This window comes from Homo sapiens, chromosome 1 (genome assembly GCF_000001405.40).
Source record: "Homo sapiens chromosome 1, GRCh38.p14 Primary Assembly".
Classification (NCBI taxonomy): Eukaryota; Metazoa; Chordata; class Mammalia; order Primates; family Hominidae; genus Homo; species Homo sapiens.
This window is the reverse complement of record NC_000001.11, coordinates 31,965,289-31,988,560: the sequence shown is the minus strand read 5'-3', so window position 1 is coordinate 31,988,560 and position 23,272 is coordinate 31,965,289. Positions and strand designations below refer to the sequence as shown.

The window sequence follows — 23,272 nt, the reverse complement described above, 5'->3', positions numbered from 1 at the left end:
ATCACAGCTCACCGCAGCCTTGACCTCCTTGGCTCAAGCTATCCTCTCACCTCGGCCCCCAAGTAGCTGGGACCACAGGCATGTGCCACCACACCTGGCTAATTTTTTTTTTTGTAAAGGTGGGGTCTTGCTTTGCTACCCAGGCTGGTCTCAAACTCCCGGGCTAAAGCAATTCCCCCGCCTTAGCCTGCCAAAGTGCTGGGATTACAGGTGTGAGCCACTGCGCCTGGCCCTCCCCAGAGTTTTTTTTTTTTTTTTTTTTTGAGACGGGGTCTCACTCTGTCGCCCAGGCTGGAGTGCAGTGGCACGATCTCGGCTCACTGCAAGCTCCGCCTCCCGGGTTCACGCCATTCTCCTGCCTCAGCCTCCTGAGTAGCTGGGACTACAGGCACCCACCAGCACGCCCGGCTAATTTTTTTGTATTTTTAGTAGAGATGGGGTTTCACCATGTTAGCCAGGATAGTCTCGATCTCCTGACCTGGTGATCCACCCGCCTCGGCCTCCCAAAGTGCTGGGATTACAGGCTTGAGCCACCGCGCCCGGCCTTCCCCAGAATTTCTTACAGAAAATTTCTACTCGGGATCCAGTAGGTGACCAGCTAGTGCTCTGAAGCTTTGTATGCCATTAATTGCTTAACGTCAGTATCACATGCGCTCTGGATGATTCTCGGTGGCTCCAATGCTGAGTGTGTGGTGGTTGACTCTACTGCATCAGTATCACTCAAGACTGCTCTATCGAGTTACAATGCCTCCTCTTTGTCAGGGTCCTGGCTTCCCCCAGGGCTTGAGGACAGTATGTGGCTTTTGAACTTGCTTTTCATCGGGGATGGAGAAAGCATGCGAGTTCACCCACTGCCTCAATTGTTAGAAGTGTCTGGGCAGAATCAGGCATATGTGGCTGGCCGATGTCTCTCCCTGGTAGTTCCAGGGGCCAGCCTCGCCTTCCTGTCTGAACTCGGCAGGGACAGGCTGGCTGGGTCGACAGAGGCATCTGCCTGGCAGTTGGGGGCCTGTGAGAATAGCTCTAGTTCTCACCCAGCAGCCTGAGTTGTGGCCTGGGCAAGACCTAGTGAAGGCACACGTTAGTCACAGCAGCCTGGGTGGGGAGGGGGCAGGCATGGGGAGTTCCCTGTGGAGTTCTGGGCAGAAGAGAAGAGCTCAGCTATCACTGTGTGACTGGTAGGGCAGAGTGAGGAGGGGCGTTAGGCCAAGTGCCTCTCTTCCCCTTGGTCGTTAGTCGAGAGCCTCAGGGAAAACGCCAGCCTTCCTGATCTGATCTAATTTCGAGCCCCCCTGCTGTGTGACAGAATGATTCTCTCTGCACATGGTCAGCCGCAGATTTTTCTCAAGGTGAAAGCAATTAGGGCTTCATTCCCTCCTCCCCCAGCTGCTAGAAATAAAAGGAAGATGGAAGAGAAGCTTCTGCCAAGGTCAGCCAGAATGCCCAGTCCTGTTCCTGTAATTGGCTCTGCCACCTGCTCACACCTCTCACAGGTTGTTGTGGTCTCAGGCATTTTGGTGTCCCCCAGGGCTGAGGCAGTGAAGACAGCAGGAGCTACTGCTTTTACATCTCTCTCCAGGACAAGAAAGAGGGCATCTTCACCCTGCCCTGGGTGGGGAATGTGCAGGAACTGTGTGAGCCAGGCCTGGGCGGCACACACAGATGGAGCTGAGCTGTTCTCTCCTTTCTCTGGAAGAATCAAAACCCAGGCAAGAGAAAAGTCATTGGAAGGTGGGAGAACTCATTCATTTGGTCAACTGCTAAACCAAGCACTTTGCTAGGCGTTCCTGGTCCCTGTAGTCTTGGAGCCAAGGGGAACAGAGTGGGTGCAGGAGGTGGAGGGATGGGGAAGTCAACGGGCAGGCAATTCCAAAGGTACCAAATGTCACAAAGGAGGACAGCAGGATACCACGGGAACCTGACCTACGATAGAAATTAGGTTCTTGGCTTTTTTTTTTTCCTTAATTTTTAAATGTATTGTCATAGAGATGAGGTTTCACTGTGTTGCCCAGGCTGGTCTTGAACTCCTGGGCTCAAGCAATCCTCTCTTCTTGGCTTCCCAAAGTACTGGGCTTACAGGTGTGAGTGACCAACCACATCCAGCCTTATTTTATTTTATTTTATTTTATTTTATTTTATTTTATTTTATTTTATTTTATTTTATTTTATTTTATTTTATTAGAGAAAGGGTCTTGCTTTGCTGTCCAGGCTGAAGTGCAGTAGCATGAACAGGGCTCACCGCAGCTTTGACCTCCTGGGCTATAAGTGATCCTCCTGCCTCATCCTCTAGAGTAGTTGGGACTACAGACATGCTCCACCATGCCTGGCTAATTTTTAAATTTTTCAGAGAGACAGGGGTCTCACCCTGTTGCCCAGGCTGGTCTTGGCCTCAAGCAATCCTCCTGCCTTGCCTCCCAAAGTGCTGGAATTTCAGGCGTGAGCCACTGCACCAAGCCTACCCCGTTTTTAAGAGTCTCGGGCTGGGTAAGGTGGCTCATGCCTGTAATCCCAGCACTTTGCAGTGTAGTGGCTAGTCTCTACAAAAAAAAGTTTTTAAAAAATGAGCTGGGCTTGGTGTGGTACACCTGTGTTTCCAGCTACTTGGGAGGCTGAGGCAGGAGGATCACTTACAGCCCAGGAGGTTGAGGCTGCAGTGAGTTGTGTTGGTGCCACTGCACTCCAGCCTGGGTAACAGAGCAAGATCCTGTCTCAAAAACAGATAAAAAAATAAACAAATAGAGATAAAATCTCATGGTAAAATATTTAAAAATAAAGGATAAAAATTGAAATCAGAAGCTCCAAATTACTCCCCACCATCTTCCCTGGTGGTAACAGCTGTTAACAGAGTGTTATGTACTTTTCCGGGGGACTTTCCAAATGTATTCAAGTGTAAGTACATATACAGGGCCGTCCTCTTTAAAAACGGGGTTGTTACTACGCTCCTATCCAGCTGGTGACTTCCCCTGCCTCCACTTCACAATATACCCAGGGCATTTTTTCCATGTTAGTACAGAGAGCTTCACCTCATTCTTTTTGGTGGCTGTGTGGTATAAGGAAGTGATTTTTGAAGGGTAAAACCTGAAGAATAAGTAAGATTAGTAAGGCAAAGGGATGGTTCTCTAAAGCACTGAGCCTGGGAAAACAAAAGCAACATAGATCTCTCTAACTATATCTCCTAATGTCTCCCTTCCTTCTGCGTTTAGACCCCCCGCTCCCTCTGCTGCCACATTTTTCTCTAATTTGCAAAGCAGTTCAGCTGTCTTTGTCTTGCCCTAGCTCTGGAGAGCTTCATTCTTCATGCCAAAGCAACTTATGAAGTATTTTCCCAAACAAAGAACCCTCTACCCAGAGAAAAATTGTGCCACTCCCCTAATAGACAAAAGTAGCTGCAGGCAGTTGTGGTTTAAAATAGCAATTAAGAAAAAAAAAATCTGTTACACCATAAAGCACCTGGCAGTTCATAAATGGTGGTTATTTGTTACTAATATTATTTTACATGTGTTGATGGATGGGTTGGCTGCTGCAAGTTCCTGTCCTTCATCCTGGGGTACCCACCTCTTGCTTGGCCACTTTTCAAGTGTAGGGATGGTTGTCTTACTTGTGTTTGTACCTCTAGCTCTCAGCACAAGGCCTGGCATAGAGCAGACACTCAGGAAGTGAGTGTCGAGTTGAACACTGAAGGGCTGGGTGTGCTGTTCCAAGCAGATACTGAGTCACAGACATTGTGGGCCTGCTGTGATCTGAGCCCCAGTATAGATGCTTTGGAACAGTAGAGAAAACAATCAAAAGAGAGGCTCTTGTCCTGGGGAACTTCATCAAGATGGGCCTCATGAAACTGTCACATCATATCACAAATTGTAAAGCATCCACAGTCCCTGGATCAGTACTAATTTTGGCTTTGGGAAGAGGGGATAAACTTTCCTTCACCCCCACCTTTAGGTATAAAATAGATACGGTAATGTGCACAAACCTTAAATGAGCAACTAGATGAATACTTTCTGTTTTTTTTTTTTTTTTTTTTGAGACGAAGTCTCGTTCTTGTCGCCCAGGCTGGAGTGCAATGGCGTGATCTCAGCTCACTGCAACCTCCACCTCCCAGGTTCAAGCAATTCTCCTGCCTCAACCTCCCAAGTAGCTGTGATTACAGGCACCTGCCACCAAGCCCAGCTATTTTTTGTATTTTTAGTAGAGAAGGGTTTTCACCATGTTGGCCAGGCTGATCTCAAACTCCTGACCTCAGGCGATCTGCTTGCCTTGGCCTCTTAAAGTGCTGGGATTATAGGCCTGACTCACCATGCCCGGCCTACTGTCTGATTTTTTAAATTAAAAATATTTTGTTTTTGTTTTTGTTTTTAGTGACAGGGTCTTGCTATGTTGCCCAGGCTGGAGTATAGTGGCTATTCACAGGTGCAATCATAGCTTACTGCAGCCTCAAACTCCTTGGGTCAAGCAATCCTCTTTCCTCAGGCTCCTGAGTAGCTGGGACTATAGGCACATACCACCACACCCAACTTGAAGTTTTATACATGTATATACCTGTATAACCATCAACCAGATCAAAATCCGGATTATTTCCAGGACCCTAGAAGGTTCTCTTGGCCGCCTTTCAGACATACCCCCTGTCACAATAGAAACGATTATTTCTGACCTCCATTACCATCAACTAACTATACCTGTTTTTGAGATTTTTCTAAATGGAATTGCATGGTGTACATTATTTTTGTTCTGGCTTCTTTCACTCAATATTATAGCTATAAAATTCATCCATGTTAGTACTTAGTACTTGTTTTTTTATGTATGTGGTATAGTATTCTATCAAATGAACATATAACAATGGAGGCATTTGGGTTGTTTCTAGCTTTTGGTTATTCTGAATAATGCTGTTACAAACATTCTTTTACATATGTCTTTTTGGTAGACTCAACCATTTATTTTTCTTGGCTATATATATTTGAGTGGAACTGCTAGGTCAGAGGGGATACGTATGTTTAGTTTTAGTAAATACCGCCAGTTTTCCAAAGTGGTTGTACCAGTTTACACTCCTTTCAGTGGTGTATGAGAATTCCAGTTGTTAATATTGTCAGTCGTTTTAATTTCAAATTTCAGCCATTCTGATAGGTACGTAGTGGTATCTCACTGTTTTAATGTATCTACCCACATAGTAATAAGTAATAATATTTTTTGTTTTGAGACAGGGTCTTTTTCTGTTGCCGAGGCTGGGGTGCAGTGGCATGATCATGGCTCATTGTAGCCTCAACCTCCCAGGCTCAAGCAATCCTCCTGCCTCAGCTCCCTGGGTAGCTGGGACTGCAAGTGCATGCCAACACATCTGGCTAATTTTTAAGTTTTTTGTAGAGATGAGGTCGGGCTATGTTGCCCAGGCTGGTCTTGAACTCCTGGCCTCAAGTGATCTGCCCGCCTCGGCTTCCCAAAGTGCTGGAATTACAGGCATGAGCCATCAAGCCCGGCCAGTAATAATGTTTTTACATGCTTGTTTCTTGTGCTATTTGGCCATCTGGATGTCTTTGTTGAAGAGTCTGTTCCCACTTGGTCCCCTCACCCAAGGATGTCTCTCCTACACTCAGTAACCATTTGATGACCTTAACTGATGGTCATTCAATGGTCATCCTTGTGCTGATCACACCCAGATCTCTGTCCAGAGATCCTGCTCCCAAATGCCATACCCACATATTCAGCTGGCTCTTTGATATCTCTAACAGAATGACCCATGTGCCCCTCAGGATCAATATCCAAACTAAAAGCTTCATCTCCTCTTCAGCCCCTAATCCATTTTCCTTCCTTTCTGCTCAGGCCACTCCAGGGCACCCAGACTGGCCCATCATCTTCATCCTCACGGACTCTGTGAATGTTTAGGCCCCAATCTCACACATTTCAAGAAATGTGGCCAGGCGTGGTGGCTCACACCTGTAATCTCAGCACTTTGGGAGGCCGAGGCAGGTGGATAACTGGAGGTTAAGAGTTCGAGACTAGCCTGGACAACATGGTGAAACCCTGTCTCTACTAAAAATACAAAAATTAGGCAGGGGTGGTGGCAGGCGCCTATAATCCTAGCTCCTTGGGAGGCTGAGGCAGGAGAATCCCTTGAACCTGGGAGGCGGAGGTTGCAGTGAGCCGAGATCACGCCACTGCATACCAGCCTGGGTGACAGAGCGAGACTCTGTCTCAAAAAAAGGAAGGGAGGGAGGGAGGGAGGGAGGGAGGGAAGGAAATAAAAATATGCACAGCCTGTTTCCTTTCCCCACCCCACACCCTCTTTGCCCTGGATACCTCCTCCTTGGGTCTCAGCTTACATGCCACTTCCTCTGGTTTAGGTGTTTCCTCTGCTGTCTTCCAGTGCCAGTTCCTTCCTGTCAAGTCATTTATCACACTGGCTTATAATTACCAGTGTCAATGCCTGAATCCCTGGATCATCTGTTGTTTTGCCTGCTCAGCATTCTTTCCCCTCCTCTCAGTAGTCTAGTTTTCGCTAGGAGCCATCTCTCCATTCTTGCTCCGTGTGTTGGGGTGTGGCTGCAGAGAAGGATGTGCATATCACCCAGGCCCGACAAGTCAGCATATTCCATCCTTTAGTTCTGTAACTGGGTCAATGTTAAGCACAGAACCAAGGTAGTTGATCAGAGCAATCTTAGGATTTTTGCTGGAACAAATGGGAAAGAAGCATTCTTTTTCTGAGGGGGTTACTACAGGGCTAAGATGAAAGCCTGGAGCCTGGGGGATCCTGGTCTGGGGAGTGACCCAGGCCTACCTCACCACACATTTTGGTGGGAGATCTCCCTTCCACATTACTAAAGCACATAGATTCTACAAAAAAACATATCTCCACAGCCCTTTTGCAATTCTGGTGCAATAGTGGATTTTCTAATTATCTTCATTTAGCTTTGTTGTCAAACTACAGAGTAGTAGGGGTTTTTGTGTGTGTGTATGTGGTTTTTTTTTTTTTTTTTGACACGGAGTCTCACTTTGTCGCACAGGCTGGAGTGCAGTGGTGTGATCTCACCTCACTGCAACCTCTGCCTCCCAGGTCAAGTGGTGATTCTCCTGCCTCAGCCTCCTGAGTAGCTGGAATTATAGTCATGCACCACCATGCCCGGCTAATTTTTTTGTATTTTTAGTACAGACGGGGTTTTGCCACGTTGGCCAGGCTGGTCTCGAACTGCTGACCTCAGGTGATCTGCCTGCCTCAGCCTCCCAAAGTGCTGGGTTTACAGCTGTGAGCTACTGCGCCCAGCCTGAGTAGTAGTTTTTGAGAGCACAGATTCCGCAGTAACTTAAGGGTTTGAATCTAGCACTGCCATATGTCACATGTGACTTTGAGCAAACTGCTTAGACTCTCTGTGCCTCAGTTACGTCATCTGTAAAATGGAGATGATAACAGTACTTACTTTATAGTGTTTTTGTGAGAATTAAATGAATTGATTAATGTAAAAGGACTTGTTTACACTGTGGGGAAAATACCACCCGGGACATTTCACAAAGGAAGTGAAAGCAAGGCCAGGTTTCCAAGTGGCTAAAGATGGCTTTGCTGGCAGTGGGGAGTGTGACAGGCTAATAGCCTGAGCGTCTTACCAGTAACTGCTAGTGAATTCCCTTGTTTTCTCTATTTCATCTGTTGTGTGTTCTTAATCTCACACTGACATCTCCGATGAAACCCTTTTCAAGTGTTTGGCATCTCATGGGGGTTTGACAGCAAGGGTGGTAGCCAAGCGGGTTTAACTCCAAAGGGATAATGGTGGTGTTTGCTGCAAAAACTTGAGAGGTAACATTGTTTACAGTGTACAGAGTATTTCATTTGCATATTAAGTTCACTGACTGCGATTCTAGCACGTATATAACCACGTTACACAGAAAATTCAGAAACTCCTCCAGCTACTACCTAACTCTGGAACTGCACATACCTGGGACATAGTAAAATATTGCAATCTTAATAATATAGACTTTGGCCAGGCAAGGTGGCTTATGCCTGTAATCCCAGCACTTTGGGAGGCTGAGTTGGGTGGATCACCTGAGGTCAGGAGTTCGAGACTAGCCTGGCCAACATGGTGAAACCCCGTCTCTACTAAAAATACAAAAATTAGCTGGGCATGGTGATGGGCACCCGTAGTCCCAGCTACTTGGGAAGCTGAGGCAGAAGAATTACTTGAACCTGGGAGGTGGAGGTTGCAGTGAGCCGAGATTGCGCCACTGCACTCCAGCCTGGGCAATGGAGCAAGACTCTGTCTCCAAAAAAAAAAAAAAAAAAAAAGAGAGACAGAGAGAGAATATAGGCTTTGGGGTTGGTCATACCTGGGTTTAGGTTTCGTCTCTGCCTTTTGCTTGCTTGTGTGAACTTAAGCTAGTAATTTATCCTTTCCGAGCCTCACTTTTTTCCATGGAAATGGATAAAGTAATTGCTCCTAAGGTCGCTTCATGGTACAGTCCAGGGCTACCAATCACAACATATTCTATATATCGGTAGCACATATCTTACAAGGTGGATGTAAAAATTAAATGAGATGGTTTCTGTATTGCAAATAGCTCAGCGATGGGCTGATAGCACTTAGTACATCTTAGTACATGTTAGTTGCTATTATTAGGTATTTATGTGCAGAAGTCCTTCTGATAATAATTGTCATAATAGCAAGAGTGGAGTCGGAAGAACTGATGAGGAAGGCTTTCTGAGGAAATTCTAAGTTGTTTTATTTTTATTTATTTATTTATTTATTTATTTATTTATTTATTTATTTATTTGAGATGGAGTCTCGCTCTGTCGCCCAGGCTGGAGTGCAGTGGCGCGATCTCGGCTCACTGCAAGCTCTGCCTCCCAGGTTCACGCCATTCTCCTGCCTCAGCCCCCCGAGTAGCTGGGACTACAGGCGCCCGCCACCATGCCCGGCTAATTTTTTTATATTTTTTAGTAGAGATGGGGTTTCACCATGTTAGCCAGGATGGTCTCGATCTCCTGACCTCGTGATCTGCCCGCCTCAGCCTCCCAAAGTGCTGGGATTACAGGTGTGAGCCACCATGCCCAGCCGTTTTTTAATTTTTTTAATTTTTTAAATTGTATGTCCTCTGGTGTTGAAACTGAAAGATTCTAAGGTTTAAACTGGATTTGAAAGGTGGAGAGTAACTCATTTTGGCAATGAAGATTAGGGTGAGTGTCTTGGGAATAAAAGAAAGAGGGAACAGGTGTCTGCGTGACCAAAGTGAGATACTTGGATGCAACTCAGCCCCGTCCTCAGGGCACTTGTGGGCTTCTGCCAGTAGTGGGGAATCCCAGAACCTTCTCTGGCTTGGCTACAGAAGGAAACAGACATCTCCTATGGAGAGAAAGGAAAGTCACGGAGCTGCTGTCTGGTGGTGACTGGGGCCACAGTGGCAAGCAAAGAGATGTCTGTGGGGCAAGGGAACTGGCAGGGTGAGGCCTGAGGGTCAGCCCAGGATTCTGGTCACTGGGAGGCTGAGCTAGAGGCTTCTACCTCCTGCAAAGTAAGCTGGGCTGGTCTGTGGATTCTTTCCAGATTCTCAGAATTCCAACCTCCTATAGGGTCTTCTCTAGGGAAGGAGGGACACAGATGTATAGAAAAGACCAAAGGGAATGATGAGAGTTTGAAAACTCTGGTCTGGCCAGGCTCAGTGACTCATGCCTGTAATCCCAGCACTTTGGGAGGTCGAGGTGGGAGGATCATTTGAGTCTAGGAGTTCAAGACCAGCCTGGACAACAAAGCAAGACCCTGTGCCTTTGATTGTTTATTTGTTTATTTATTTATTTAGAGACAGTCTCGCTCTGTTGCCTAGACTGGAATGCAGTGGTGCGATCTCAGCTCACTACAACCTCCGCTTACCAGGTTCAACCCGGAGTAGCTGGGATTACAGGCATGTGCCACCAGCTTATTTTTGTATATATATATTTTTAGTGGAGATGAGGTTTCACCATGTGGCCCAGTCTGGTCTCAAACTCCTGACTTCAAGTGATTTACCTGCCTCAGCTTCCCAAGGTGTTTCCCAAGATTACAGGTGTCAGTCACAGTGCCCGGCCCTGACTCTGTCCCTTTAAAAACAAACAAACAGGCCAGGCGCGGTGGCTCATGCCTGTAAGCCCAGCACTTTGGGAGGCCGAGGCGGGCGGATCACAAGGTCAGGAGTTCGAGACCATCCTGGCCAACATGATGAAACCCTGTCTCTACTAGAAATATAAAAATTATCTGGGCGTGGTAGCACATGCCTGTAGTCCCAGCTACTCAGGAGGCTGAGGCAGAAGAATCACTTGAACCTGGGAGGCAGAGGTTGCAGTGAGCCGAGATTGTGCCACTGCACTCCAGCCTGGAGACAGAGCGAGACCGCGTCTCAAAAACAAACAACAAACAAAACAAAAAAAACCCTCTGGCCTGAGATTCCAAATTGTCACCAGCCATCACGGGGCTGGTGGAGAGACAGTCAGACCAGGCTGTGCTGCTTTCTGGGAGAGCCAGCCATCTCCCATCTGCCCCTGCAGACCCACGCTTCACTCTTCTCTGTCCTGTTCTGTGTCTGCCTTGTCTGGACACATCAGCAGGCTGCTTTGCCTTCTGGCTCCTTCTTGGGCTCAGCCACTGGGGACACTGGGTCTGAGGGGCCAGAAGGGAGAGAAGTTGGGTAGTTATTCCCTTGCTCCCTCTACAGGTTGACAGGGTATCCTTGATGGGCAGTCACAGCTCTTCTTAAGGAGGCCTCTTTTCCAAAATTCCCTCCCTCAGGAAATGCTCTCCCCTGTCCCTTCAGGCCTAAGGGTGGTGGCAGCTCCTCAAGTGTTGCTAGCCCCGGGCCACTGTGCTGTCCCTATGGTTTCTGTGCACCCACTCACACCATCGTAAATAAACCCTCTTCAAATTATTCTAATTTTAGTGTGTCATCTGTTTTCACTTGGGACCCTGACTGATACATTTGCCAAATAAGGATTCTTTTGGTTGTCTTAAGGGAAAGAGAGAGAATTATTGCCTCATTATTGCTTCATGTACCCGAAACGATGTACAGACATTAGACATGTTTGTTCAAGAGTTTAGGCAAGAGCTTACTTAGAGTTGGCAGCTTCAGTCTCTTTCTCTCCTTCAGCTCTAGTTCCTCTGGGTGTGCTTTCCATTCGGGCACTCTCTCTACCTAGCAACTTCCAGCAGCTCCAAGCTTATATCCTCCCAGTGTCAAGTCCAAAGAAAGGTTCATTTCAGCCTGGGTGCAGTGGCTCATACCTGTAATTCTAGCACTTTGGAAGGCCGAGGTGGGTGGATTGCTTGAGTCCTGGAGCTCAAGATCAGCCTGGGCAACATGGCGAAAACCCATCTCTACAATAAATACAAAAGTTAGCCAGGTGTAATGGCACATGCCTGTAGTCCCAGCTACTCGGGAAGCTGAGGTGGGAAGATCACCTGAGCCTGGGAGGTCGAGGCAGCAGTGAGATGTGATTGCACCACTGCATTCTAGCCTGGGTGACAGACGGAGACCCTGTCTCAAAAAGCAAACAAACATAGCCAGGTGCGGTGGCTCACGCCTGTAATCCCAGCACTTTGGAGGCTGAGGTGAGTGGATTACCTGAGGTCAAGAGTTCAAGACCAGCCTGCCAACATGGTGAAACCTCATCTCTACTAAAAATACAAAAATTAGCTGGGTGCGGTGGCAGGTGCATGTAGTCCCAGCTACTCAGGAGGCTGAGGCAGGAGAATCACTTGCACCTGGGAGGCGGAGGTTGCAGTGAGCCGAGATCACACCACTGCACTCAAGCCTGGGTGACAGAGACTCTGCCTTAAAAAAAGAAAAAAGCAAACAAACAACCAAACAACTCCCACCCCAACAACAACAAAAAACAAACAAAAAAGAAAGGTTCATCTCTATCCCAATGGATCTGACAAAGTTCCAGTATTCTCATGGACTTGGCATGAGTCACAAGGCTACCTCAAACCAGTCACTGTGACCAGAGGGATGGAACACGTAATTGGCCAGATGTGGGTCATGTCTTGCCTCTAGAGCTTGGAAGAGGTGTGTTGACCCCACCTAAGTCAACAGGCCTGATAGTAGGGGCAGGCAATTCCCAAAAGTCAAGGTTTTCTCACCAGAAGGAAAGGAAAGGCACAGATGCTGAGTAGGCCCAAACCATGAATCTGTTTTTTTTTTTTTTTTTTTTTTTAAGACAAAGTCTTACTCTGTCGCCCAGGCTGGAGTGCAGTGACGTAATCTTGGCTCACTGCAGCCTCTACCTCCCAGGTTCAAGCAATTCTCATGCCTCAGTCTCCCAAGGAGCTGGGACTACAGGTGCCTGCCACCACATCCGGCTAAGTTTTGTATTTTTTGTAGAGATGGTATTTCACCATGTTGGCCAGGCCGGTCTCAAACTCCTGACCTCAAGTGATCCACCACCTCAGCTTCCCAAAGTGCTGGGATTACAGGCGTGAGCCACTGAGGCTGGCCTCCATGAGTGTATTCTACTTGGCTATGTGAACTTGGATAAATGACCTAACCTCTGGAACTTCTGTGTTCTTTCTTCCAATACTATTAAGAATAATGATTATTGAGCAGTTACTGTGTGCCAGGACCTACATCGAGGGTTTTAGATGAATCTTTGTTTGGTAGCTCTCATTGTTTCCCCCTCTTTATAGATGTGCAAACCAAGACTCAGAAAAGTAAAGTGGGCCAGGCGCAGTGGCTCATGCCTGTAATCCAGGCACTTTGGGAGGCCGAGGTGGGCGCATCACCTGAGGTCAGGAGTTTGAGACCAGCCTGGCCAACATGGCGAAATCCCGTCTCTACTAAAAATATAAAAATTAGCTGGGCATGGTGGCAGGCATCTGTAATTCCAGCTACTCAGGAGGCTGAGGCAGGAGAATCGCTTGAACCTAGGAGGGGGAGGTTGTAGTGAGCTGATATCATGCCACTGCACTCCAGCCTGGGTGACAAGAGCAAGACTCCGTCTCAAAAAAAAAAAAAAAAAAAGGGCTGGGCCCGGTGGCTTACACCTGTAATCCTAGCACTTTGGGAGGCCGAGGTGGGAGGATCACGAGGTCAGGAGATTGAGACCATCCTGGCCAACATGGTGAAACCCCATCTCTACTAAAAATACAAAAATTAGCTGGGTGTGGTGGTGCGTGCCTGTAATCCCAGCTACCTGGGAGGCTGAGGCAGGAGAATCACTTGAACCAGGGAGTCGGAGGTTGCAATGAGCCGAGATCACGCCACTGCACTCCAGCCTGGCGAGAGAGCGTGATTCTGTGAAGAAAAGAAAAGAAAAAAGACAAGACAAGACAAGACAACAGGCTTTCTCAGGGCCACAAAAGCCTAGACATGGCAGAGTTAGAATGTGAACCCAGATTTGTTTGACAGAAGAACACACACCTCTCTACCAAACTGCTTCTCAGTTGGAGCCTAGCTTGCAAGGTATTGTGAGGATTAAAAGAGATATAATACAAATAGTACAGCAAAAATTTATTTTACTCTTTGTGCACATACTGTGTGCCAGCCCCTGAGCCAAATGTTGCGTGGACACATGTTTAAATCTTGCAACAATTTCTCACTCTTGAAAACATCTAGCATAGCCCCTTGCCCAGTAGGAACTCAGTGGTAGCTTCTCTCCTTTTATGCTCCCTGACTTTTCTCTTCATGTTGGTTCCAGCATTTTTTCAGAATTTTCATTGTTCTGTGTTGCACAGGGTCCCTGAGCTATTTCTTCTGCTGCCTAGAAGCTGAGAAGAATCAGGGTCATGGCCCTTGTGCCTGGAGAGGTCCTTATGGGGAGAAAGGGCTCAGTGAGAGGAAAGCAGGTGGGAAAACAGGCCTGGGGAGGTGATGTGATTAACATCACAGCATCAAGTGTTTTTCCCCTGAGAAACTTTGGACATTTTAAAAACATCTCAGCCGGGTTCCGTGGCTCACGCCTGTAATCCCAGCACTTTGGGAGGCTGAAGCGGGCAGATCACGAGGTCAGGAGAGCGAGACCATTCTGGCCAACATGGTGAAACCCTGTCTCTACTAAAAATACAAAAAATTAGCTGGATGTGGTGGCGTTGCACTTGTAGTCCCAGCTACTTGGGAGGCTGAGGCAGAAGAATCGCTTGAACCTGGGAGGCGGAGGTTGCAGTGAGCTGAGATCGCACCACTGCACTCCAGCCTGGGCGACAGAGTGAGACTCCGTCTCGGGGAAAACAAAAACAAAAACAAAAACATCTCCAGGGCACTGGGATTCACCCTACTGGGGAAGTGGGAGGTTGGCAGGGGGCAGGTTGCCTGGCAAGCTGGCCAGAGGACCAGGTACACCTTCTGGTTTGTCTCCTAATCTCCTGGATGGTTTCCATACTGAGACCAACTGTCCATTGTCTTTGACTCTTCGTTTGTTGTCCAATCAGATAACAGGACCTACTGATTCTCCCAAATTCTTGCTGTTACCTGAGAGTTTGTTGAAAGCTTTGACTAAGTTTTCTGCATTGGGAGTGAGGGTAGGTACAGAATCTTTCATTTTCGGGTTTCCAGTAACTAAACGCATGTTTTGTTCTGTTTGAGAGACAGAGTCTCTGTTGCCCAGACTGAAGTTCAGTGGCGTGATCTCAGCTTACTGCAACCTCCACCTTCTGGGTTCAAACAATCCTCCCACCTCAGCCTCCCGAATAGCTGGGACTACAGGCATGTACCACCACACTCAGATAATTTAATTTTTTTTTTTTTTAGATGGAGTCTCTCTCTGTAGCCCAGACTGGAATGCAATGGCATGATCTCGGCTCACTGCAACCTCCGCCTTCCGGATTCAAGCAATTCTCCTGCCTCAGCCTCCTGAGTAGCTAGGATTACAGGCACACACCACCACGCCTGGCTAATTTTTGTATTTGTAGTAGAGATGAGGTTTCACCATGTTCGCCAGGCTGGTCTTGAACTCCTGACCTTGTGATCCATCCGCCTTGGCCTCCCAAAGTGCTGGGATTACAGGCGTGAGCCACCACGCCCGGACAATTTTTAAATTTTTTGTAGAGACAAGGTCTTGCTATGTTGCCCAGGCTGGTCTCAAACCCCTGGGCTCAAGTGATCCTCCAATTTCAGCTTCCCAAAGTGTGCTGGGATTTACAGATGTGAGCCACTGCACCCAGCCTGTATGGTTTTTTTTTTTTTTGGTTTTGTTTTTTGTTTTTGAGACAGAGTCTCTCTGTACCACCCAGGCTGGAGTGCAGTAGCGTGATCTTGACTCACTGCAACCTCCCATCTCCTGGGTTCAAGCGATTCTTGTGCCTCACCTTCCTGAGTAGCTGGGATTACAGGTGTGTGCCACCACGCCTGGGCAGTTTTTGTATTTTTAGTGGAGACAGGGTTTTGCCATGTTGGCCAGGCTGGTCTCAAACTCCTGGACTCAAGTGATCCACCTGACTCGGCTTCTCAAAGTGCTGGGATTACAGGCGTGAACCATCCCGTCTGGCCTGTATGTTTAATTGAACTTAATAATAGTCATAATTTTTTCAGAGCCTCCGGTGAACCACTGACTTAACTAATCATCAAGTTTAATCCTCACAACAACCTTGTATCATAGCTACTGTTTTTCTTTCTACTTAATATAAGAGGGAAGTGTGACTGGTGTAAGGTCATGGGGCTAGCAAGTGGCTAAATGGTAAGCTGAAAAGCAGCTTGGACCTCTCTTTTAAACTCGAGACTTGTATGACCAGCTGATTATTTGACACGTCCCCTTAAATGTCCAATGGGCACCTCAAACTTAACATGTCCAGGACCAAGTTCCTGCTATCCACTCCCTGACCCCTAACCTGTTCAGTTAATTGCCACTGCATCTTTCAACTGCTCAGGCCAAAAATCTTGAGCTATCCTTAACTTCTCTTTCTCATACACCCTAGCTTCAATCCATCAACACACTTAGTGAGGTCTACCTTCAAAATATCTCCAGCATTGACCCCTTCCAACTCTCTCCGCTGTTCATGTTCTGGCCTAAGCCACCAACAGCCTCCTCACTGCTCTTCAGGTTTCTGCCTTTGCTTCCCCTAATCTCTCAACAGATTCAGATATGTCACCCTTCTGCCTGAGCACTGCATTGGGTAAATGGATGAGTAAAAGTCCAAGTGTTTACCCTGAGCTACAAGGCGTTATCTGAACTGGCTTTTTTTGAGATGGAGTCTCACTCTGCCACCCAAGTTGGGGTGCAGTGGTGCAATCACAGCTCACTGCAGTCTAGACTGGCTGGGCTCAAGCCATTCTCCCACCTCAGCCTCCTGGGACAACAGGTGCATGCCACCATGCTAATTTTTAAAATGTATTTGTACAAACAAGGCTGCACTATGTTGCCTAGGGTGGTCTTGAGCCCCTGGGCTCAAGTGAACCTCCCACCTTGGGCTCCCAAAGTGCTGGGATTAGAGGTGTGAGCCACTGTGCTCAGCTGAGCGCTTTTTTTTTTTTTTTTTTTTGAGACGGAGTCTCCCTCTGTCACCCAGGTTGAAGTGCAGTAGTGCAATCTCGGCTCACTGTGACCCCCATCTCCCGGGTTCAAGTGATTCTCCTGCCTCAGCCTCCTGACTAGCTGGGACTACAGGTGCATGCCACCACGCCCAGCTAATTTTTGTATTTTTAGTAGAGATGGGGTTTCATCTTTTTGGCCAGGCTGGTCTTGATCTCCTGACCTCAAGTGATCCCTCCACCTCGGCCTCCCAAAGTGCTGGGATTACAGGCGTGAGCTACCATGCCCAGCCTAAACTGGCTTCTTGAGACATCTCTTCCCTCATTTTCCAGCCTCTCCACCTGCCGTCACTCTGCTACACATACTTTTCTTCAGACCACACACTCTCACTTCAGAGCCTTTACATGTGGTACTTATTTGGTCTGGAATTTTTTATTTCCAAATGCCCATTGGTTACTTCCATATTTCTTTCAGGTCTTTAATGCCATCTTCTTAATGAGGCCTTTCCTGGACACCTTACCTAAAATTTCACACCCTCCACTTATAGTACCTATTTTCCTTCCCTGTGCTATTTATTTCTCCTTAGGATGTATTACCACCTAAAATACCATATATCCTGGCTTATTGTCAGTCCCACTAAAATGTATGCCCCGCTATGGCAGGATTTTGATCAGTTTTGTTCATGGCTGAATCTCCAGCTCCTTTAACAATGACTGGCACGTCCTCGGTGCTTGATTCACATTTGTTGAATACATGTATGAATAAATGAATTTAGAAGAAGAAATGAGGTCTGTTGACTCATTTAATTGCTCCATGCTACCTCTCCAGACTAAGCGTGTCTGTGATATACCTGTGGCTATTTGGTGGCACTCATATCACGCTCTCAGTGCTGCGGGAATTCTTAGAAGAGTAGTCTATAAATAGTACTCTCTTTGCTTGAAAAAGCTCTGAACCATTTGAGAAATAAGACTAAGAAATAACGCATATGAAGACCAAAATAGCAGCCTTATTATTGATAAAGCTGATTTAGAGAGAGTGACCTATGTCTGTCGATAGGTGTGCACCCAAGTACTGACCCCAGAATTGCATCAGCTTAACCATGGATTCACAGGCAGTGCCTGATGAAGTAGAACTTAAGGCATACAGAGACAGGCAGAATGCATCCTTTAGGAGAGAAGTGTGCAGAGCTGCATATACCAGTTCTTTATCACAGACTCATGGATGGATTCAGTCACTTGCCTCTTTCAGGGGAAGCAGAGAGAAGCCAGGAGTGTTACACTATGGATGCCTTTCCCATGAAAGGGAAAGATAGGAGTATTTTCCATCTAACAATCCCCAACTCTTAAACAAAACAAAACAAAAAGAAACAAAAAAAAAACAGCTTTATTGACTAGGTGTGGTGGCTCACACCTGTAATCCCAGCACCTTGGGAGGCTGAGATGGGTGGATCACTTGAGCTCAGGGGTTCGAGACCAGTCTAGGCAACATAGTGAAACTTCATCTCTATAAAAAATACAAAAATTAGCCGGGTATGGTGGTACAGGCTGTAGGCCCAGCTAGTCAGGAGGCTGAGGCGGGAGGATCGCTTGAACCCAGGAGATGGAGGTTGCAGTGGGCTGAGATCCTGCCACTGCACTTCAGCCTAGGTGAGAGTGAGACCCTGTGTCAAAAAAAAAAAAAAATTAAAATAAAAAATAGCTTTAGTGATATGTGATTCACATACCGTAAAATTCACTTTTAAAGTATACAAGTCAGTGGGGTTTTTTTGTTGTTCTTCTTTATTCTGAATACAAGTCCCATATCCAATCTATGATTTGTAAATATTTTCTCCCATTCTGTGGGTTATCTTTTCACCATCAGGAGACAGTGTCCTCATAGAATGGAACAACACATGCTGGGGCCTATTGGAAGGTGGAGGTTGGGAGGAGAAAGAGGATCAGGAAAAATAACTAACGGGTACTAGACTTAATACCTGGGTGACAAAATAATTTGTACAACAAACCCCCATGACACAAGTTTACCTATACAACAAACCTGCACATGTAACCCTGAACTTAAAAGTTAAATTAAAAACAAGAGATGGGCTGGGCACACTGGCTCATGCCTGTAATCCCAGCACTGTGGGAGGCTGAAGCAGGTGGATCACCTGAGGTCAGGAGTTCGAGACCTGCCTGATCAACATGGTGAAACCCCGTCTCTACTAAAAGTACAAAAGTTAGCTGGGCGTGGTGGCAGGTGCTTGTAATCCCAGCTACTCGGGAGACTGAGACATGAGAATTGCTTGAACCTGGGAGGCGGAGGTTGCAGTGAGGCAAGATCGCACCATTGTACTCCAACCTGAGCGACAGAGCAAGACTCTGTCTCAAACCAAAAAAAAAAAAAAAAAAAGAGAGAGAGAGATGGTGTCCTTTGAAACACAAAAGTTTTTAATGTTTACAAAGTTCAATTTATCTTTTTTTTGTTTTGTCTGTGCTTTTGAGTATCATATCTAAGAAACTATTGCTTAATCCAATGTCGTGAAGATTGATTCCTATGTTTTCTTCTAAGAGTATTATGCTTTTTTTAGCTCTTACATTTAGGTCTGTTACATTTTTGATCAAATTGTTTATATAGTGTGAACAGGGGTTCATTTTAATTTTTTTTGCATGTGAATATCCAGTTATTGTTTTCATACATTTGTTCAAAATTGACCACAAATGTAAAGGTTTATTTCTGGACTTTCAGTTCTATTCCATTAATCTATATATTTATTCTTTTTTTTTTTTTTTTTTTGAGACAGAGTCTTACTCTGTTGCCCAGGATGGAGTGCAGTGGTATGATCTCAGCTCACTGCAAGCTCCACTTCCCGGGTTCAAGAGATTCTCCCACCTCAGCCTCATGAGTAGCTGGGATTACAGGCATGTGCCACCACACCTGGCTAATTTTTGTATTTTTAGTAGAGATGGGGTTTTGCCATGTTGGCCCGGCTGGTCTCGAACTCCTGACCTCAGATGATCTGCCCCACCCTCGGCCTCCCACAGTGCAGGGATTACAGGCGTGAGCTACCACGCCTGGCCTATATATTTATTCTTATGTCAGTACCATATTGTCTTTATCACTTTGGCTATGTATAAATTTTGAAATCAGTGAGTTCTCCAACTATTTTTTTTCAAGATTATTTTGACTATTCTGTGTCCCTTGCATTTCCATATGAATTTTAGGATCAGCTTGGTAATTTCTGCAAAAAACAAAAACAAAAACAAAAAAAACCCAAAAAAACACCAGCTGAAATTTTGATAGGAATTGCACTGAAAATGTAGATCAGTTTGGGGAGTATTGCCATCTTACTCCCCAGAATGCCATCTGTTCATTCCAATATAGGAACACGGGATGTCTTCCCATTTATTTAGGTCTTATTAAATTTCTTTCAACAGGCCAGGAGCGGAGGCTCACGCCTCTAATCCTAGCACTTTAGGAGGTGGAGGCGAGAGGAGCATTTGAGCCCAGGAGTTTAAGACCAGCCTGGGCAACATAGTGAGACTTTGTTTCTACAAAAAATGAAAAAAATTAGCCAGGTTTGGTGGTATACACCTGTAGTCCCAGCTACTTGTGAGGCTGAGGCTGGAGAATCTCTTGAGCTTGGGAGTTAGAGGCTGCAGTGAGCTGTGATAGCACCACTGCACTCCAGCCAGGGCAACAGAATAAGACTCTCTCTATAAAACCAACCAACCAACCAACCAACCAACCAACCAAACGAACAAACAAACAAACAAAAAAAACAGACGCAAAGTCTTTTAACATTTTTATAGTTTTCAGTGTCTGAATCTTGTTATTTATTTATTTATATTTGAGACAGAGCCTTGCTCTGTCGCCCCAGCTGCAGTGCAGTGGTGCAATCTTGGCTCACTGCAGCCTCAACTTCCCATGCTCAAGCCATCCTCCGCCGCAGCCTCCCAAGTAGCTGAGACTACAGGAGTGCACATCCAGGTAATTTTTTTTTTTTTTAGACGGAGTCTTGCTCTGTTGCCTAAGCTAGAGTGCAGTGGCACGATCTCGGCTCACTGAAAGCTCTGCCATCCGGGTTTCATTCTCCTGCCTCAGTCTCCTGAGTAGCTGGGACTACAGGCGCCCACCACCACACCCAGCTAATTTTGTGTATTTTTAATAGAGACAGGGTTTCACCATGTTAGCCAGGATGGTCTCGATCTCCTGACCTCGTGATCCATCCGCCTCGGCCTCCCAAAGTGCTGGGATTACGGGGGTGAGCCACTGTGCCCAGCCCATGCCCAGCTAATTTTTAAATTTTTTTTGTAGCTACGAGGTCTCACTGTATCACCCATGCTGATCTTGAACTCCTGGCCTCAAGCGATCTGCCCACCTCAGCCTCCCAAAGGGCTGGGATTACAGACATAAGTCACCGTGCCTATCCAAGTCTTGTATAATACTTCTTTTGTTAAATTTCCTCCTATGTATATTATTCTTCTTGATGATATTGTAAATAAAAATTATTTTCTCAATTTCATTTTCAGATTGTTCATTGCCAGTGTATAAAAATTCAACTGATTTTTGTGTATTGATCTTGTATCCTGCAACCTCACCAAACTCATTTATTAGTTCTAATAGTATTTTGTGAACTCCTTAGGATTTTCTATATTCGAGATCATGTCATCTGCAAATACAATTTTACTCCAATCTGGATGCCACTGCAACCTCTGCCTCCCAAGTTCAAGTGATTCTCCTGTCTAAGCCTCCTGAGTAGCTGGGATTACAGGCACCTGCCACCACGCCCATCTAATTTTTGTATTTTTAGTAGAGATGGGGTTTCACCATGTTGGCCAGGCTGATGTCGACCTCCTGACCTCAAGTGATCTGCCCACCTCAGCCTCCCAAAGTGCTGGGATTATAGGCGTGAGGCACTGCACCCAGCTCCCAAAAGCTTCTTTAATCTTCATAATACCATGAGGTTGATGTTACTAATCCTATTTTTTTTTTTTTTTGAGATGGAGTTTCACTCTGTTGCCCAGGCTGGAATGTAGTGGCATGATCTCGGCTCACTGCAACATCTGCCTCCTGGGTTCAAGCAATTCTTCTGCCTCAGCCTCCCAAGTAGCTGGGATTACAGGCGTGTGCCACCATGTCCAGCTAATTTTTGTATTTTTAGTAGAGACATGGTTTCACCATGTTGGCCAGGCTGGTCTCGAACCCCTGACCTTGTGATCTGCCTGCCTCAGCCTCCCAAACTGCTGGGATTACAAGCATGAGCCACCATGCCTGGCCACTAATCCTATTTTAGGAATGAGAAAATTGAAGTTCGAAGTAGTTAAGTGATTTACTTAAGGTCATATAATTGGTAAGTCTCAGAGTCTAGATTTGAACCCAAGTCTTTCTGATTCCATTATATCCAAAGGTCTTTTGAAATACATTTTAAATTTTAAATAAATTTTACCTTGAAAATGTAATAATGTGCATGATAAAGAATTTAATAGTACAGGCTGGGTGCGGTGGCTCATGCCTAAAATCCCAGCACTTTGGGAGGCCGAGGCGGGTGGATCACGAGGTCAGGAGATCGAGACCATCCTGGCTAACACGGTGAAACCCTGTCTCTCCAAAAAAATACACAAAATTAGCTGGGTGTGGTGGCAGGCGCCTGTAGTCCCAGCTACTTGGGAGGCTGAGGCAGGAGAATGGCATGAACCCGGGAGGCGGAGCTTGCAGTGAGCCAAGATCGCGCCACTGTACTCCAGCATGGGTGACAGAGCGAGACTCTGTCTCAAAAAAAAAAAAAAAAAAAAGAAGAGAATTTAATAGTACATAAGGATATCCAGTAGGAATTAGTTCTCCTTCCTACTGCCATGCCCTCTTTCCTCCATTCTCAGAGGCAGTCATTATTGGAGGTGTTTCCTTCCAATGTGTTCTATACATACCTAAATAGATATATCTACATCTATACAAATTCTTATTTTAAACAGACACATAAACTTATTTTTTTCTTTTAAAAACAATCTTAACAATGAATCTTGAAGATTATTCCATACCAACACATCCAGATAGATTTATCTGTCATTTTTTTTTTTTTGAGAGGGAGTTTTGCTCTTGTTGCCCAGGCTGGAGTGCAATGGCATAATCTTGGCTCACTGCCACCTCTGCCTCCCAGGTTCAAGCAATTCTCCTGCCTTGGCCTCCCAAGTAGCTGGGACTACAGGCGCCCACTACCACGCCCAGCTAAGTTTTGTATTTTTAGTAGAGACGGGGTTTCGCCATGTTCGCCAGGCTGGTCTCGATCTCTTGAGCTCAAGTGATCTGCCTGCTTTGGCCTCCCAAAGTGCTGGGATTACAGGTGTGAGCCACTGTGCCCAGCCTCATTTTTTTTTTTTTTAGAGTCTTACTCTGTCACCCAAGCTGGAGTGCAGTGGCGTGATCAGAGCTCACTGCAGTGTCAACCTCCTAGCCTCAAGCGATCCTCCCACCTTAGCCTCCTGAGTAGCTGGGACTACCGGTGCACACCACCGCACCTCAGCTAATTTTTTGTATTTTTTTGTATAGAAGAACTTTCGCCACGTTGCCCAGGATGGTCTCAAACTCCTCAGTGCAAGCAGTCCACGCACCTTGGGCTCCCAAAATGATGGAATTTCAGCCGTGAGCCACTGTGCCTGACCCTTTTTTTTTTTTTTTTAAGGCTAGTTAAGTCAAGTGAAGCTGTGGGAGTGGAAAAGGAATAAAGAAATATTTTAAACAGTTGCATACTATTCCATTTTAGTAAATGACTGTCCTACTGAAGGATGTTTAGATTCTGTCTCTGTTTTTTTTTTTTTTGAAACAGAGTTTCTCTCATCTAGGGTAGAGTGCAGTGGTGCAGTCTCAGCTCACTGCAACCTCTGCCTCCCAGGTTCAAGC

At 46.2% G+C, this 23,272-nt stretch overlaps 1 annotated feature.

Annotated features, from left to right (window-relative positions):
* Nucleotides 3,139-3,208: an enhancer, noted in NCBI's record as "active region_667". NCBI's record gives its function as "activates an Ori minimal core promoter by ATAC-STARR-seq in GM12878 lymphoblastoid cells {active_cell/tissue: GM12878}" and the evidence as "EXISTENCE:reporter gene assay evidence [ECO:0000049][PMID:35858748]".